The sequence below is a fragment of the Homo sapiens genome, chromosome 9 (assembly GCF_000001405.40).
Source record: "Homo sapiens chromosome 9, GRCh38.p14 Primary Assembly".
Taxonomy (NCBI): domain Eukaryota; kingdom Metazoa; phylum Chordata; class Mammalia; order Primates; family Hominidae; genus Homo; species Homo sapiens.
This window is the reverse complement of record NC_000009.12, coordinates 121,950,259-121,964,902: the sequence shown is the minus strand read 5'-3', so window position 1 is coordinate 121,964,902 and position 14,644 is coordinate 121,950,259. Positions and strand designations below refer to the sequence as shown.

The following is a 14,644-nucleotide window of genomic DNA, read 5'->3' as shown; positions in this document are numbered from 1 at the left end:
GACAAATTGCCAAGAGAGGCAGGTGTGGGGAGAGGTTATTTCCTGATGGGAAGAACTTTTAAAAACTGACAAGGAGGTGGCACTTGACCTGAGGTTTAAAGCGTGAGTAGGATTTGAAATATGAAAATGAGGGGAAGGAGGTCCCTAGTGAAGAAAACAAAGGCACAAGGCTCTGTTGGGGGAGCCTCGAGGAGTTCAGGTAGGCAGGAGGGATGGGTGCATGGAGTGTATTAGGAGAGAGGAAGGTGGGAGCTAGATGGAAACCCAAAGCCGGAGGTTTATGGCCTTGAATGTCAAGAAATTTGAGGCCAGGCACGGTGGCTCACACCTGTAATCCCAGCACTTTGGGATGCCTAGGCGGTGGATCACATGAAGTCAGAAGTTCAAGACCAGCCTGGCCAACTTGGTAAAACCCCATCTCTACTAAAAATATAAAAATTAGCCAGGCATGGTGGCACATCCCTGTAATCCCAGCTACTCAGGAGGCTAAGGCAGGAGAATCGCTTGAACCCAGGAGTCAGAGGTTGCAGTGAGCTGAGATCACACCATTGCTCTCCAGCCTAGGCAACAGAGGGAGACTCAGTCTCCAAAAAACAAAAAACAAAAAACAAAAAAAAGGAAAAGAAATTTGAGCTTGTTTTTGTGTGTGATTTTTTTTCCTCTCCTCTAATGAATGTGTCACAGTCTTTATTCTTAGTCCCTGGCACAGTATTCGAAACCTTTTTTTTTTTTCCAACTTTTATTTCAGGGTCGGGGGTCCATGAGCAGGTTTGTTATGGAGTTGTTTTTCTATCTGGAATGCATGAAGTCTTGAAAGGTATCTGTGATTTTGTGTATATGTGTATTTTTTTTCTGGAGCAAAAGCCAGAAATTTCATCATATTTTCAAAAAGTGAAGAACCGAACTGTCATCCTATTATCGTTGGAGGCTATAAAAAGCCACAACTTGTCTGAGGTTCCTGACTTCAAGATACATTGCGTTCCCCATACCTTGAAAGGTCTCAGGTTTCAGATGATAGCAAATGAGAAAAATGTGCATACATTTTCAAGTGTGAGCAGGAAGGAGATGACTAATGATAAGTGCATTATTTTATGTGCAAGAAGTAAAACCAGACAACTCTCTTCCGTTGAAAACGTTTAAGCATTAAGTCAGAAGTAATCAGCAAAAGCCTTATTTGTGGGAAGTCTGTTGAGAGGGAACCATTTCCAAGATGTATGGGGAAGAATTTCCTGAGCTGATGTGAGAGTGTCATTCCACAGGGCCATCAGACAGGAGCCGAGCCCCTCTGCCGGCAGGTAGGCATGCTCTCCCTCTTGCCGTGGGTGGAGTAGATGGGAAACTAGATGAGCATATGGCCAGTCAGTCACCATTACGGGGAAATGGCAGTGCTGAATTCTTTGTGGGCCCTTCCAAAGTTATTCCAGGTAGTGATGAGGTAGCAAATGTGTTTGGAAATTTCCTTAGGAGTTGCACCAGTGAACCTTAAATGTTCGTGTGCTTTTAGAATCAGCAGTTGTTAGCCCAGAACACAGCACATGCTGGGCTTAGGAGACCAAGGTTTTAGTATCAGCTCCACCTTGGTCTCAGAAAAGTCACTTAGACTTTCTGGAGTTCAGTTTCTTCATTAGAAAAAAAGGGGAATAATAGTTTCTGCTCTGCCTGGTTCACAGGGGAGTGTTTCTTGGGTGCTGACCGTGTATAGCATGGTAGTAAATGTTCACATATAGTCCCAGCTAGTCCTCACGTAGGATCTGCAGTAGGGGCTATGACTACCTCTATTTTATAGATGAGGACATCGAGGCTTGGAGAGGTTGAGTGGCATGGCCAAGTCCACCTGCTTATGAGAGACAGACTGAGATTTAAAGCCAGGTCTGTCTAGCTCTCGCCCTGCAAGAGAACAGACGTGCAGATATTTAGCACATGAAAGAGATGGGTGCCTGCAAGGCGTTAGCATTCCCTGGTTGGGTTCATGCCTATCCAAGGCCTGTTCTCTGTCTGTAAACTTTGGGGCAGGGTCTCATGTCTCTATCTCCAGGGCCAAGCGCAGAACCCAAGCAGGTGCTTATGGGTAAGGAAGGTCTATGGTCAGTGAGGCGGTGACTTTATTTTCAATAATGTTCACAACCAGAATGAATATAAAGTAAGCCAATGTACAAAGAAGAGTGACTTAAAGCAGGATCTCACATGAGACAAGAGAGAGTCCAAGACAGAAAATTCCCCATTTGCAGTTATGTGTTCCAGACTGGAGAACAGGCTGAAGTTTCATAAGAAGACCTGGTGAGCCAAGGACTAGATTGAGTCATATGAAATCACTGATAGTAGACAACTTCTGGAATACAAGAATGGCAATGTCATATGGTTTAACCTAATAGTTGGCTGGGAATGGTCAAGACAAGCTTCTTGAAGAACATAAAGAAGGTGGGGCTTGCACTAGCTTGGGCTTGGATAAGTAAGAATATATAAGTAGGCTTGGGAGAGGAAGTATGGAGGCAGGAAGCAGGTGACAGGGTTGGGTGGAGCTGGGGAGGCACAAGTGGTGGGTCAGGACCACCCATCATAGTTCCAAAGGGGCGTTTTGGGGTGGAGAAGACAGATGCTGCTTCCCTGCTGCCCATTTCGTATTAAAATGTTTTCCTCATTATGAAAGTAATGTGTGCTTATTGTGGAAAAATTGGGAAGTACTGAAAAGTGCATAGCATGACATCTCCCTCAAAGTCAGCCACCCAGAGCTAACCTGATTAACTTTTTACTTAATAAAAATAGTATAATCTTCTCCTGTCATTTATAGTTGAAGCCATACTGTCTGTGTAATTTTGGTATGCTGTTTTTATTTTTCTCCTTTTTTATGGGATGGAGTCTCACTCTGTTGCCCAAGCTGGAGTGCAGTGGCACGATCTCAGCTCACTGCAACCTCTGCCTCCCAGGTTCAAGTGGTTCTCCTGCCTCAGCCTCCCGAGTAGCTGGTATCACAGGCACCCACCACCACGCCTGGCTAATTTTTGTATTTTTAGTAGAGACGGGGTTTCACCATGTTGGCCAGGCTGGTCTTGAACTCCTGACCTCAGGCAATTCACCCGCCTCAGCCTCCCAAAGTGCTGGGATTACAGGTGTGAGCCATGGCACCTGGCCTATTTTTCTCCCTTTTATAAGGCAGTTATTGCCCCTTTCTCATTTATAACTCTTCTTGAACATCATTTTCATCAATGACTGGACCAGAGTTTACCTCCCTATTGGAGAATGTTCAGTTTATTTCTAGCATCTATGCTTAAAGCTCTGTGTGCAATGAGAATGGTGTCGTAGGGTAGAGAGAGTCCCTGGGGCAGCAGGAATAGAGATGTACTCTGGTTTTCAATGTAGAGTAGAAGAGTGGAGTGGGTGAGGGTTGGGACCCTGGAGCGAGACTCTTGGGGGTAAATTTGGCTCTGGCATTTATCACCATAAATAGGGCAGAGATTCCCACTCTCCGTACTTTTTTTTTTCATCCATAAAAGGGAGTTTTCAGTTGGATGTTTTTAAACCTACAAAGCAGTGAGAAGTTCTTAATTTGGAGAGAAGGAATATGTTGCTTATTCCTAAGAAAGTATTTGACATGGAAAATATCCAATCTGAATGTAGTTAAATAAACTGAACAATATGTGTAAGCTGAAAGGGTTTCTTTTTTTTTCTTGAGGAAAAAAGTGTGGAGGAAGAGGTGGTAAAGTGGGAAGAGTGCTACAGCAGTGCCAGGTTCATCTTCGACCGTGAGGATGGACTTGATTTTCTTCTAATGATCTGTTAGATTATCAGAAATGGAAGATCAAAATGAAAGCCAGTTTCAGTCATCATTTGAAAACCCTTGGTTATCACACCAAGTGTTTGGCAGTGTTCTCTAGCTGCTTTCCTTCCTTTTCTTTTGAAGCAATTTCCATTTCTTCCTTCACTTTAAGCAGCTGAAGAGCCCTTTGCAACCCTCATCACAGAGGCTAATGAGAGAGGTGGGAGAGGGAGGAATTTGAGCGGTTCAGAGCAGGAGGATCCACCCCCAGGCTCATCCTCTCTGGGCGTGCATCTCATCAGTGAGAGTCAGCAGCCTTCTGTGTCTAGCTGTGGGGCTGGCTTTCCTGGATGTGCAATTCCTGTCTTGGGGGATGCCTTTATTTACTTAGAGAGGATCATTTTCTTCCCCCGGACTGCGCCATGCCTCTGCAGCACCGTAGACCGGTCCTGAGAAACTGCTAAGGTGTGAACGAATGCAAGTATGCATACGTGCATGAATGAGTGCTGAGGGCTTGCTACATGTAGGTTCTGTGCTAGAGGCTGGATCGGTGATGCCCGTAGCCTCTGTGAGGTGCAGGAGGCAGCAGAAGCACCAACAGCCAGGTGAGCCAGGCCTGGGCATGAGGAGATGTGGGTCAGGAAGGAGGCAGTGAGGGAGACCTAAGCCAAGGAAGCAAATCTTGGTGAGGGCTGCAAGGCAGGACAGGACATGGGGCTCTCAGAGCATGGACAGCTCCAGAACATTCATAGCTGTATTGACAAATTTATAAAAGCTCTAAGCTGGAATCAACCTAATGTCCACCAACAGAATAATGCACTCATTATGGTTATTCACTCACTGGAGTACTATACGTCAATGAAAATGCATGAATTATAGCTTCGTGCATGGATATTGAGGTACAGCAAAAGAAGCAAGTCATACAAGAACATCTACAGTACAGTTCAACGAAATAAAATTCAGAACAGGCAAAACTAAACTTTGTTTTATAGAAGTGTAACCCTAAGTAGTCAAATATGAAGAAAAGTGAGAAAAAAGATCAGAAGTTTAAGGTGGTTACTTCTGGGCAGGGATGGGCAGCGGGAGGTGTGATCTGAGAGGGTTACAGGTGGAGGCTGAGATGTGGCTATGTTCTATTTCTTAACCCAGGTGGTGGCTGTATAGGTTTTAGAATTATTCTTTAAATGTATGTATCTATGTTATACATGCTTGTATATGTGTGATATTTGAAAATTTTACAGAAAAAAATAAAGAAGTCCAATGTATAATACAGATCACAGTGAGCAAGCAGGGACGGTGTCAAGAGATGGGGCCAGAGCTGCAGGGCCTAATTAATGAGTCAAGTCAAGCATTTGGCTTTTCCTCCTAAAAGCAACAGACAGATTTTCAAAGCAGGCTGACACGATGAGGTTTATGTTTTAAAACCATCACTTTGGCTGCAGCATGAAAGCCAAGTTGGGGTGAGGCAAGGGTGGCTGTGGGACAGTTACGAGTTTTGGGGGATGTCGGTCATGTGGGTTAGGTGGCAGGAGTAGGGATGGAGAGAAATGTTTGTATTAAGACGTTTTTAGGAGGATGAATGGACAGGGCTTGGTGATGGATTGGATCTGAGATGTGACTGTGAAGGAAGAACCAAGAAAGGGGCCCAGGTTCAGCAACTGGGTGGCTGCTGGTGCCAGTCATGGAGGTCCCAGAAGCTGGGAGAAGAACAGCTTTGTGAGGGCCTGATGAAGGGTCGTGAGACTTCCAGCGATATTATCTAATAGGTAGTTGGGTACATGGGCCGGGGGCTCATGAGGAGGTGTGGCCCATTACAACAATAATTGCTCCACAGAGTAGACAGGGACGGTTTGGTCCCCATGTGCGGATTAGACACTGTCTACACCAAGTGATTTCGGTGGCAAATGTGGTGAAGTGGGGTGAACCCAGGACAGGAGGTCTGGGTTCAGATCCTGACTCTCACTCCTCTTTTTGGTGCATTCTTAACCCTGTTCCACCTCAGCATGCTCACAGAGCTCGGCCCTGCCTGCTGGCTCAGTTGCTGGGCACAGAAACATCCTGTCTTCAAGGTGCCCTTTGCATATTACCTCTGTTGTCTTAATTCACTTTTAGGCTTTTGGAGTTGTGCAAGTGCCTTGGGGGCCTTAAGAAGCACTGGACCCCCCCCCTTGTAAAGTGGTGCCCATGCCTGGCAGAAGGAGTGATTAAGGACTATTGAGTGGAGCAGGCAGTGAGGGTTTCCCTAGAGCACCTGCTTCTCCAGGCTTCCCCAGCGAGCCTCCTCTGCTCATTGTCATTACAGCCCCCATCTCCCCATACACCTGTGCAGGGCTTGGAAGTCCATAGAGTCATTTCAGACCAATTATCCTAAATGATATTTGCCCAACCACGCAAGGTAGTCAGGAAATGAGTCATTCTTCCCATTTCACAGGCAAGGAAACCAAGACTCAAACCACATGGCATTTCACAAGCTTTAGGCTTTAGGACTCTATGTGTTCGAGGGTAGGTTGCTGGTCATGGAAACGGTTACCTGTGTCCAAATCTACTAGCTGAAGCCTCTGTTTCTATACACCATGACCTCTGTGAGGTGCTGGAGGAGAGAAAAACTGGAATCTGTCCCCAGAAGCCTGATTAGGAGTGGGTACTGGAAGTCCTCTGCCAGGAGGAAATGGTGGAGGTGCTAAGGGTGTTTGGCTTCGAGAAAAAAGACCCCAGGGGATAGCATTTCCATTTTTACTTGAAGGTGGTTATATGGGAAAGGGGGTGAAGTCTCTTCGGGCACCAATAAGGCAGAGCAAAGACCCATGACTGAAATTTGCAGAGGGATTTAAGCTCAAAGAAAGAAAGAAAACAGCAACAGCAATGACTTACTTCGCCTGAAATGATAAGGGTTGACTGAAAGGAGTAGCAAGTTCCGTGTAGTTAGAAGTAATCAAACCAAGGCTAAATAGCCATTCAGGTCTTAGTTGTGCCCTCTTGGGCAAGTCACTTAACCTCTTGGAGTCCAGGTCTCCTTATCTAGACAATGAGCATACTGTTCCTACATTGCAGGTTGGTTGTGAGGACCAAATAAGGCACTGAAGCAGATCTCTGGGGACACTCGTTCCACAAGTAGCTATTGAGTTCCTACTAGGTACATGACATACGCTATCTGACTTAATTTTCATGGCAGGCTGGCCCCTCACTTTTTTTGAGGCCCAAGAAAGAAAACAAACTGAAGCGTTAGCCTCCTTCCAGCCCCTCCTTCTCTTCCCAATCCTGACTCCATCTACCACTGTAAGGAGTTGGGTAGACCCTACAGTTCACACATCTCAGCTCTGTCCACAACGACCCCCACCCCCAACTGGCTGTTCCTGGCCATTCTTCAGGTCTAGGGAGAAGGCCCCAGAAGCACCATTTGCTCTTGAGAGGATGGACTCCAGCCATCTAGGAGGGGAATTTCGGGGTCCTGGATACCTAGAAGGGGCTCCCGGAGGAGGGAGGGCATGGGCTCCATGTGAGCACGCCTCCTTGGCCTCAAGGACTCCTTGCCCCTTGGGAAGGGGGCTACCAGAGTTGGGCTGGAGAAGGACCCTCTCAAACGCAGGGCACAAGGCAGGGGCCCACTTGCCAGGGTATAAGCACAGTATTTTCTGCAAACTCAGTAATTGGTGGTGCTTAGTTACAGTTACCCTGGGTGTGCTCAGCCCAGAGCCATTCTGGAGTCTCAGTGACAGGCTCAGAGCGGGGTACAAAGCCAGGGAAGCAGAGGAGGAAAGAGGGGGCGGGGAGATGTGGGCTATCAGGACAGGGCCAGCAGCTCAAATGATCAAGTCTGTAGGGACAGATTGACCAAGTTTCCTTTTGGATCAGGGTTCTTCCTCCCATGGTGGTGGAGGGCCTTTATGGGCAGGCTGTTTCTGGAAGAGTCCCTGGGCAGTGGTAGAAGGCGCCCCCTGATTCAGACTGGCTAGCCGGTTTGAGGAAGACCTGAGACTATAAGCTCCTGCCCTGAGGGAGGGGTTGGGGTGGGAGAGAGTGGCAAGGACGAGGCCTTAGCCATGGAGTCGAGGATAGAACCACAGCCCTATTAGAACAGCCAGCTGGGCCAACATGCAGTGGGGAGGGCACAGCGGGGCATCAGATTCTGGTTTGAGTCAGCAAGGCCACTCCCAGACTCCCCTTCTTCTGGGGCTTGGAGTCAGCTAACTACTCCCTGCTGAGGTCAGCAAGGCGTAGGACTGGATGGGGCAGATCCACTGGATGCAGAACCTTGGAGCCTGCAGCTGAGTAAGGACAGAAGAGGAGCTGGGTGCTTCCCAAACGTTAGTGGGCACCAGAATCACCTGGTGGGTTTGTTAAAGCCCAAACTGCTGAACTGTACTCCCAGAGTTTCTGATTAATTTGCATTTCTGACATGTTTCCAGGTAAAACAGATGCTGCTGGTCCAGGTACAACACTTTGAGAACTACTTGCCTGCCACCCCCGGCCTTGTGTCTGTCCCGGGCCACCGGAAGACCCTGGGAAGCAGCCCTTCATACCTACTAGGGCTTGGCACTGGGCTCTCAGCAGGGCGGCCAGTAGGCCCCATCCTCATGCACAGTGATGGAGGATGCCCCTGGCGAGGGAGGCCATTGAAACAGAGCTTGCCAGTAATACAGGGAACAAGACACCCAGTTTAATACAACTCTACTCGTAGGTGTCACATATATTGCTTGTGACCACAGAACTGAAGAAGCAAAACAGAGCCACTTTTTAAATTCACATTTTTAGGAATGTTTCCTTTCCCTGCCTTTCTATGCGGGTTTCTTAAGACAAGTGAAATATTAAATGATTGTAAAATCTAACCTTTAGGGAACAATCACACCATCTTACAACAATTCTTCTAACGAAGGAGAAAGTTGCAGGTTTTTTTCTCCCCCTTTCATGCTCTTCCAGCTGGTTTTCAGGCAAAGTCCTAGGTGCATTTTCAATTTGGTCTCAGCTTTTCTCTGCAGCAGAATAAGTGGTGGGAAAATGTTTTCTCTAGGCAGCAGCAACATTTCTGTCTCATTTGTCTGGTTTTGCAGTGTAACATGGCAGCCTGTGGGCTGCTAATTTAAACTTAGGTCCTTCTAGGAGTGCACTATTCATGATCAGTAAACATATCAGGATGCAGATTTTAACCACTTAATTATTGAATGTGGAAATGCTTCCTTGCTTCATGAATATTTTAAAATGGAACAATAGATAAATTATGTTCCACTCCCAAATTTCACTGTGGTTCTGAACCACTTCATATTTAAGCATTATCTGATTACCCTGAGGCTGTGAGCTCTATTTTCCCTCAGAAAATTTGGTAGCAGAGTTACTTTGTTCCAGACCATAGAGAAGTCGAAGGCCTTTATCAAGAACAGGTCATCTTTGCACCATTTAGTTTGTCCTTGGATCTATAAATGTCCTTGCTGGAAATGGAGGTCAAAGCAATACTTTTATAAATGAGGATGTAGCCTTGTGCAGTGGAAAAGGCAAAGGACTCTAGGGTCCAGTGGGCCTGGGTTTGACTCTAGACTTTTTCTTTTGCTCCCTGTGAAATCTGGGGCAGTTATTTAACTTCTCAAAGCGTCAGTTTCTTCATCTGTAAAATGTGACTCACAGTAATAGCCACCTAACAAGATTATTGTGATCATTACATGAATGATAGTTCTTAACTGCACCACATACTACCTGAGTATGGGAAGCATTTAATGAGTGATACTAAATTTATATTATGATTTTCCTTATTGTTCCCCTCATATAAAGTCCCTATCACAATGTTGAGCCTATTGCCATTTAACAAATGAGTTTTATTATTACTATTGTTAACATCATCACAATTTTTACACATGGATGTATATTAAAACACACAGTTTTCTACCACACAAACTATATGCATTTTATTTTTTAAGATGGGAATTTATATAAGTAAATGGACAGCTTAATGAAGTTCAGGAAGATTGAAGTAAACCAACGGTGCTCGTATTAAATAGTTTAATTAAGATTATCCCTGATGCAAAACATTTGTTCGATTTGCACCTCATATTGCAAATGGGCTCCATAGATTTTCATGAACTTCTCTTTGATGTGGAAAGGCGGCTCTGACCACATAGGAGAACTGGCTGGGAGTCGAGGTCTTGGGCTGAGTGTCTGCCTTGTGGCTGCTCTGTGAACTTGACTGAGAGCCAGTCCCCACGCTTCCCTTGCATGTGGTCTGTTTATCTCTAGAGACTGCTATTGTGCAAAAATGCTACAATTCTGTAAATGCATGTGATTTATTATCTTTAAAAAGAGAGATACAAAAAAATTAAAAGAAAGATTTCATCCTTTAAAAACCCTTAGACTTTGCAAATTTTGCCAGTTGTTTTTAAACCAACAGGTATTAGGTGCCAGCTAGTTGAGGGCAGCTTAATTGGAAGCTGTGTTTATCATCTGGAGTATGTGTGTGTGTGTGTCTGTGTGTGTGTGTGTGTGTGCGTCTGTGTGTGTGTGTGTGCTTGCACTGAATGTGTTCTTGACAGTCTCTCACCATCTAGCTTCTTGCTTCTGAAGAGAAAGGTTTGCTTCTCCCCTGCATTCAGAAGAAACGCTCTAGTTCTGGTTATGAACGCTAATTACTTTGAAGAAGAAAAATAGGATTGTGTTTCTAAAAATAGTTCTGGATACAGAAGGCCATTTTTTGATTCTCTTAGAATCTGTGTGCTTCACAAGAGTGATATTACAAGGTTTCGCATTTATCCTCAGCCTGGATTCATTGCTAGCATCTTTGGTGCTTGTAACTGGGGGACAGAGTGGGGCTTGTCTCCATGTTCAGCTATTGTTCAGTGTCTCCTGTAGTTTGAATCTTAGCACCCTTCCACCACTTGTTTGTTTATGAGAGATCATTCCTCTGGTTCACAGGCCTGTTGACTTGGCCTATGATAACACAACAGTGAATACATGATATCCATGAAGTGAACAGACAAGTGTCACTGCAGCTGATGCACTGTAAGAAAAGGAAGCAATACTAGTGTTGGGAGACCCGGGTTCTAGCCCCGGCCCTGCCACTAACGTGGTTCTTTCTCACATACAGTGGGGCTGGGGCTGTGTTGGGTCCTGTGGATGCAAAGGTAGTTCAGAGAAGCTCCCTCGGCCAGCTCTGTCATCTGGGCTTTCTCTCTTCAGCAAGGGCTTGGGCTTGACTACTGAGGACATTTTTGGCCCTAACATTCTGTTAACTCAATTATTGATAATAAGAGTAGTAAGCCTCAGGCAAGTTGTACAGGTGGCTGTTCTGATAGAACTCCAGCAACAGGTAAATCTCTGGGTGGGTTCCAAATTATAGATGGCTCCAAAAAGCATGCTTCGATTGTGAGCTTTTTGTACCCCATGCAAGGTTCGTCGGGTTTTTTGGTTGCTTTGCTTACTTTTTTGTGGATTTTTTGGGGGAGGGGTTGGTCTCTATAAACTGGTTCTTGGTTCTTTCTTGGTAGTTGGGAAATGCTTTGGTTAATCTTCTTCTTTTTTTTTTTTTTTTTTTTTTGAGGCGGCATCTTGCTCTGTCACCCAGGCTGGAGTGCATTAGCGCGATCTCAGCTCACTGCAAACCTCCGCCTCCTGGGTTCAGGCAACTCTTATGCCTCAGCCTCCTGAGTAGCTGGGACTACAGGCACACGCCACCATGCCTGGCTAATTTTGTATTTTTTAGTAGAGATGGGGTTTCACCATGTTGCCAGGCAGGTCTCGAACTCCTGGCCTCAAGTGATCCGCCCGCCTCAGCCACCCAATGTGCTGGGATTACACACGTGAGCCACAGTGCCTGGCTGCTTTGGTTAATTTTCTACTCTGGGCTCTTATTGGCATTTGACCCACCTTATATAGTACCCCAGACAAAGATCTCTAAATTGGTGGAGCATGGCTTCTTCTTCAATTATGACGTGCTCATTTGAAGTTGTGTTTTCTCCTTTAGTTTGTTTTACATATGAGTCATTTTTGGTGGTATCACTCCAGTCCTCCATTTTCCTCCTCCTTAAACTATATGTACTAATCTGAATTAAAGGAATTACATTCATATAGCATAATAATGTATGGGGCTATTTATCACACATCTGCCAACATTTCAACTCTTTTCTTAGGAAAGAGCTTTATCTGTAAAATGAGGATCATAATCATTAGAATCTTTGAAGGAGGGCCAATAAATATTCCTCTCTTCCACTTGGGTTCTGAATTACTTGAGAATAAGATAAAGAAATAAAGAGGATAAGGGCCAAAATATCACCTTCATTATGAAAAAAGTGCTGCTGGGGAATGCGTCAGGTCTGTGGGCAAATGAGCTTCCTGAGGCTGAATCCGGAGCTTGACTCAGGCAGGCAGCAGTTCCCCCTGCAACCCCAGGCAGGTTTGTGGGAACCAGAACCAGGCTCTGGAGGGCAGCAGGAATGAGCTCCATGAGGAAGGAGAGGAAGGGGCTGAGCACGTTTGCCAGTGTCTCCAAATTCACCAATCAAACAAGGCATTTTATTTCCCCAGGGGAACAGAGTGTGTGGGGGGCAGGAGAGGCCAGAAACATTATGCCAAAGGTGTTCCTCTCATGCTGAAAGAACTATCAAGTGTATGGAAAAAGTGCCTCCTCCCCAAACAGAAGCTGGGTAACTAGCTGAAAGAACAAGCTATGGACCCTGACAGACCTAGGTTCAAATCCTAGTCCTCCAGTTTTTTTTTTTTTTTTTTTGAGGCGGAGTCTTGCTCTGTCACCAGGCTGGAGTGCAGTGGCGTGATCTCGGCTCACTGCAACCTCTGTCTCCCAGGTTCAAGCGATTCTCCTGCCTCAGCCTCCCAAGTAGCTGGGACTACAGGTGTGTGCCACCACACGTGGCTAATTTTTGTATTTTTTAGTAGAGACTGGGTTTCACTGTGTTAGCCAGGATGGTCTCGATCTCTTGACTTTGTGATCTGCCCAGCTCGGCCTCCCAAAGTGCTGGGATTACAGGCATGAGCCACTGCGCCCGGCCCTAGTCCTCCACTTTTGGGCTGTGTTGTTGGGCTGCATTCCCAGGCAGCTAAGGCATTCTAAGTCACAGGATGAGACAGGAGATGGGCACAAAATACAGGTCATAACCACCTTGCTGATAAAACAGGTTGCAGTAAAGAAGCCAGCTAAAACCCACCAAAACCAAGATGGCGACAAGAGTGACCTCTGGTCGTCCTCACTGCTACACTCCCACCAGCGCCATGACAGTTTACAAATGCCATGGCAATGGCAGGAAGTAACCCTATATGGTCTAAAAAGGGGAGACATGAATAATCTACCCTTTGTTTAGCATGTCATCAAGAAATAACCATAAAAATGGGCAACCAGCAGCCCTCGGGGCTGTTCTATGGAGTAGCCGTTCTTTTATTCCTCTACTTTCTTAATAAACTCGCTTTCACTTTACTCGGACTCGCCCTGAATTCTTTCCTGCGGGAGGTCCAAGAAACCTCTCTTGGAGTCTGGATCAGGACCTCTTTCCTGTAACAGTGTGATTCCAGAGGAATTCTTCTACTTTGTTAAACCTTGCCTGTAAAATAGAGATAATAATCAGTCACTGTGAAAATTAAGTGAGATAATATATTAAAAATGCCAGGCCCATGATGAGTGCTCCATAAATTATAGAAGGTCAAATGAGATAAAGACAAATACATAAGTGTCCCTTGTAAATTATGCAAGTTTATGTAAATATAAATAAATTTTATTATTTATGGTGGTGGTTTTAATGCAATGCTGAATTCCACTTGCTATACAATATGGTCACTGCTCTCTCTTTAGGCTTATTTAAATAGGCTGGGAATACCTGGTGGCTTGTTATGCATGTCTTTTCTGTCAGCTCTTACAAAAAAGATCCACAAGCCAGGAGGAAAGAAGAAATTAAATTAATGAGAAACTTGCAGGCATCCGAATGACCATCCTTCTGATTCCAGCTATTTTTGTAGCTTCTCCTGGAAGCTGTCATGTAATTCTGTAGTGGCCATTAGAAAATCTTCACTCCATTTAATTTATGCTGAGAAATCATTAGTGGGAATTTGACACAGACCCAGAGTGTTCACGAGCTGATGTTCCGCCATCAGGCTTTACAGGACAGCTTTGTGTGCCAGAGGCAGCCCTGGCAGTGAGTGTGCCCAGAAAGAAGATGGAGCAGGGGGCTGTGGCTTCACTCTGCAGCCTCCTTGTCCCCTCGTCATCATCATCAACATCACATTTATCGAGGGTTACTGTGGCCAAGCGCTTTCGGGTTTAATTTTTACCGTAACCCTATAAGGTATTATTGTCCTCATTTTACTCCAGGTCATGGACAGAGTCATGATTTGAGCCAGGTTCGGTTCATCCCAGAGCTCGTGTCGTTAGGAGCCCAGGCGACAAGCTCCTCAAAGCCTGGAGGGAGGCTTGGTCAGTCCCTTGCAGCTTTCCTGTCATTGGCATTCGGCACTAACCAGCAGCCCTCCTTTTCCTGGCAGTGATTATTGCTGATGTCTCACCCCAGACCACATTTTTCGATACGGTTCATTTCTCTCCCTTGCCCGGTGAGCTCTCAAGTGTCCCCGGGAGAAGCCAGGCTCTCTGAAGGACCCCTGTGGCACCTGCTGGCCTCAGGTCAGACTCTACCTTGTTCTGGTCAGAGAAACCACCCTTGACACCAGTCTTTGGGATATGAATAAATTGGAGTTTCATTCAGTCCTGAAAAAATCTATGAATCCTTGCCCTTTGTCAGGCTTTGGGACAGGGGTTAATTTAATAATAGCACCTATCTGGTATGGTTGGGGTACTCAGTGGAAGGTGCCTAAACAGTGCCTGGGATGTGGTGGGCACTTAGGGAGAGGGGCTGTGCTGTGATCATGGTTACAGACCAGCCCACGGCCTCAGGGAGCTCACTGCCTGCAAAG

At 45.8% G+C, this 14,644-nt stretch overlaps 1 protein-coding gene across 11 annotated transcripts in view; it reads left to right on the top strand.

Annotated features, from left to right (window-relative positions):
• Positions 1–14,644, top strand: part of TTLL11 (tubulin tyrosine ligase like 11) — a 277,635-nt gene that overhangs the window by 128,406 nt on the left and 134,585 nt on the right. For 4 of the 11 annotated variants that reach the window (NR_171569.1, NR_171570.1, NM_001386833.1 and 1 more), the window contains exon 1: positions 1,171–1,295. The exons of the other annotated variants lie outside the window; for them this stretch is intronic. The gene's annotated coding sequence lies outside the window, so the exon portion shown is untranslated. Of the gene's footprint in view, positions 1–1,170; positions 1,296–14,644 lie in introns of those variants that run through there. 11 annotated transcript variants of the gene reach the window in all.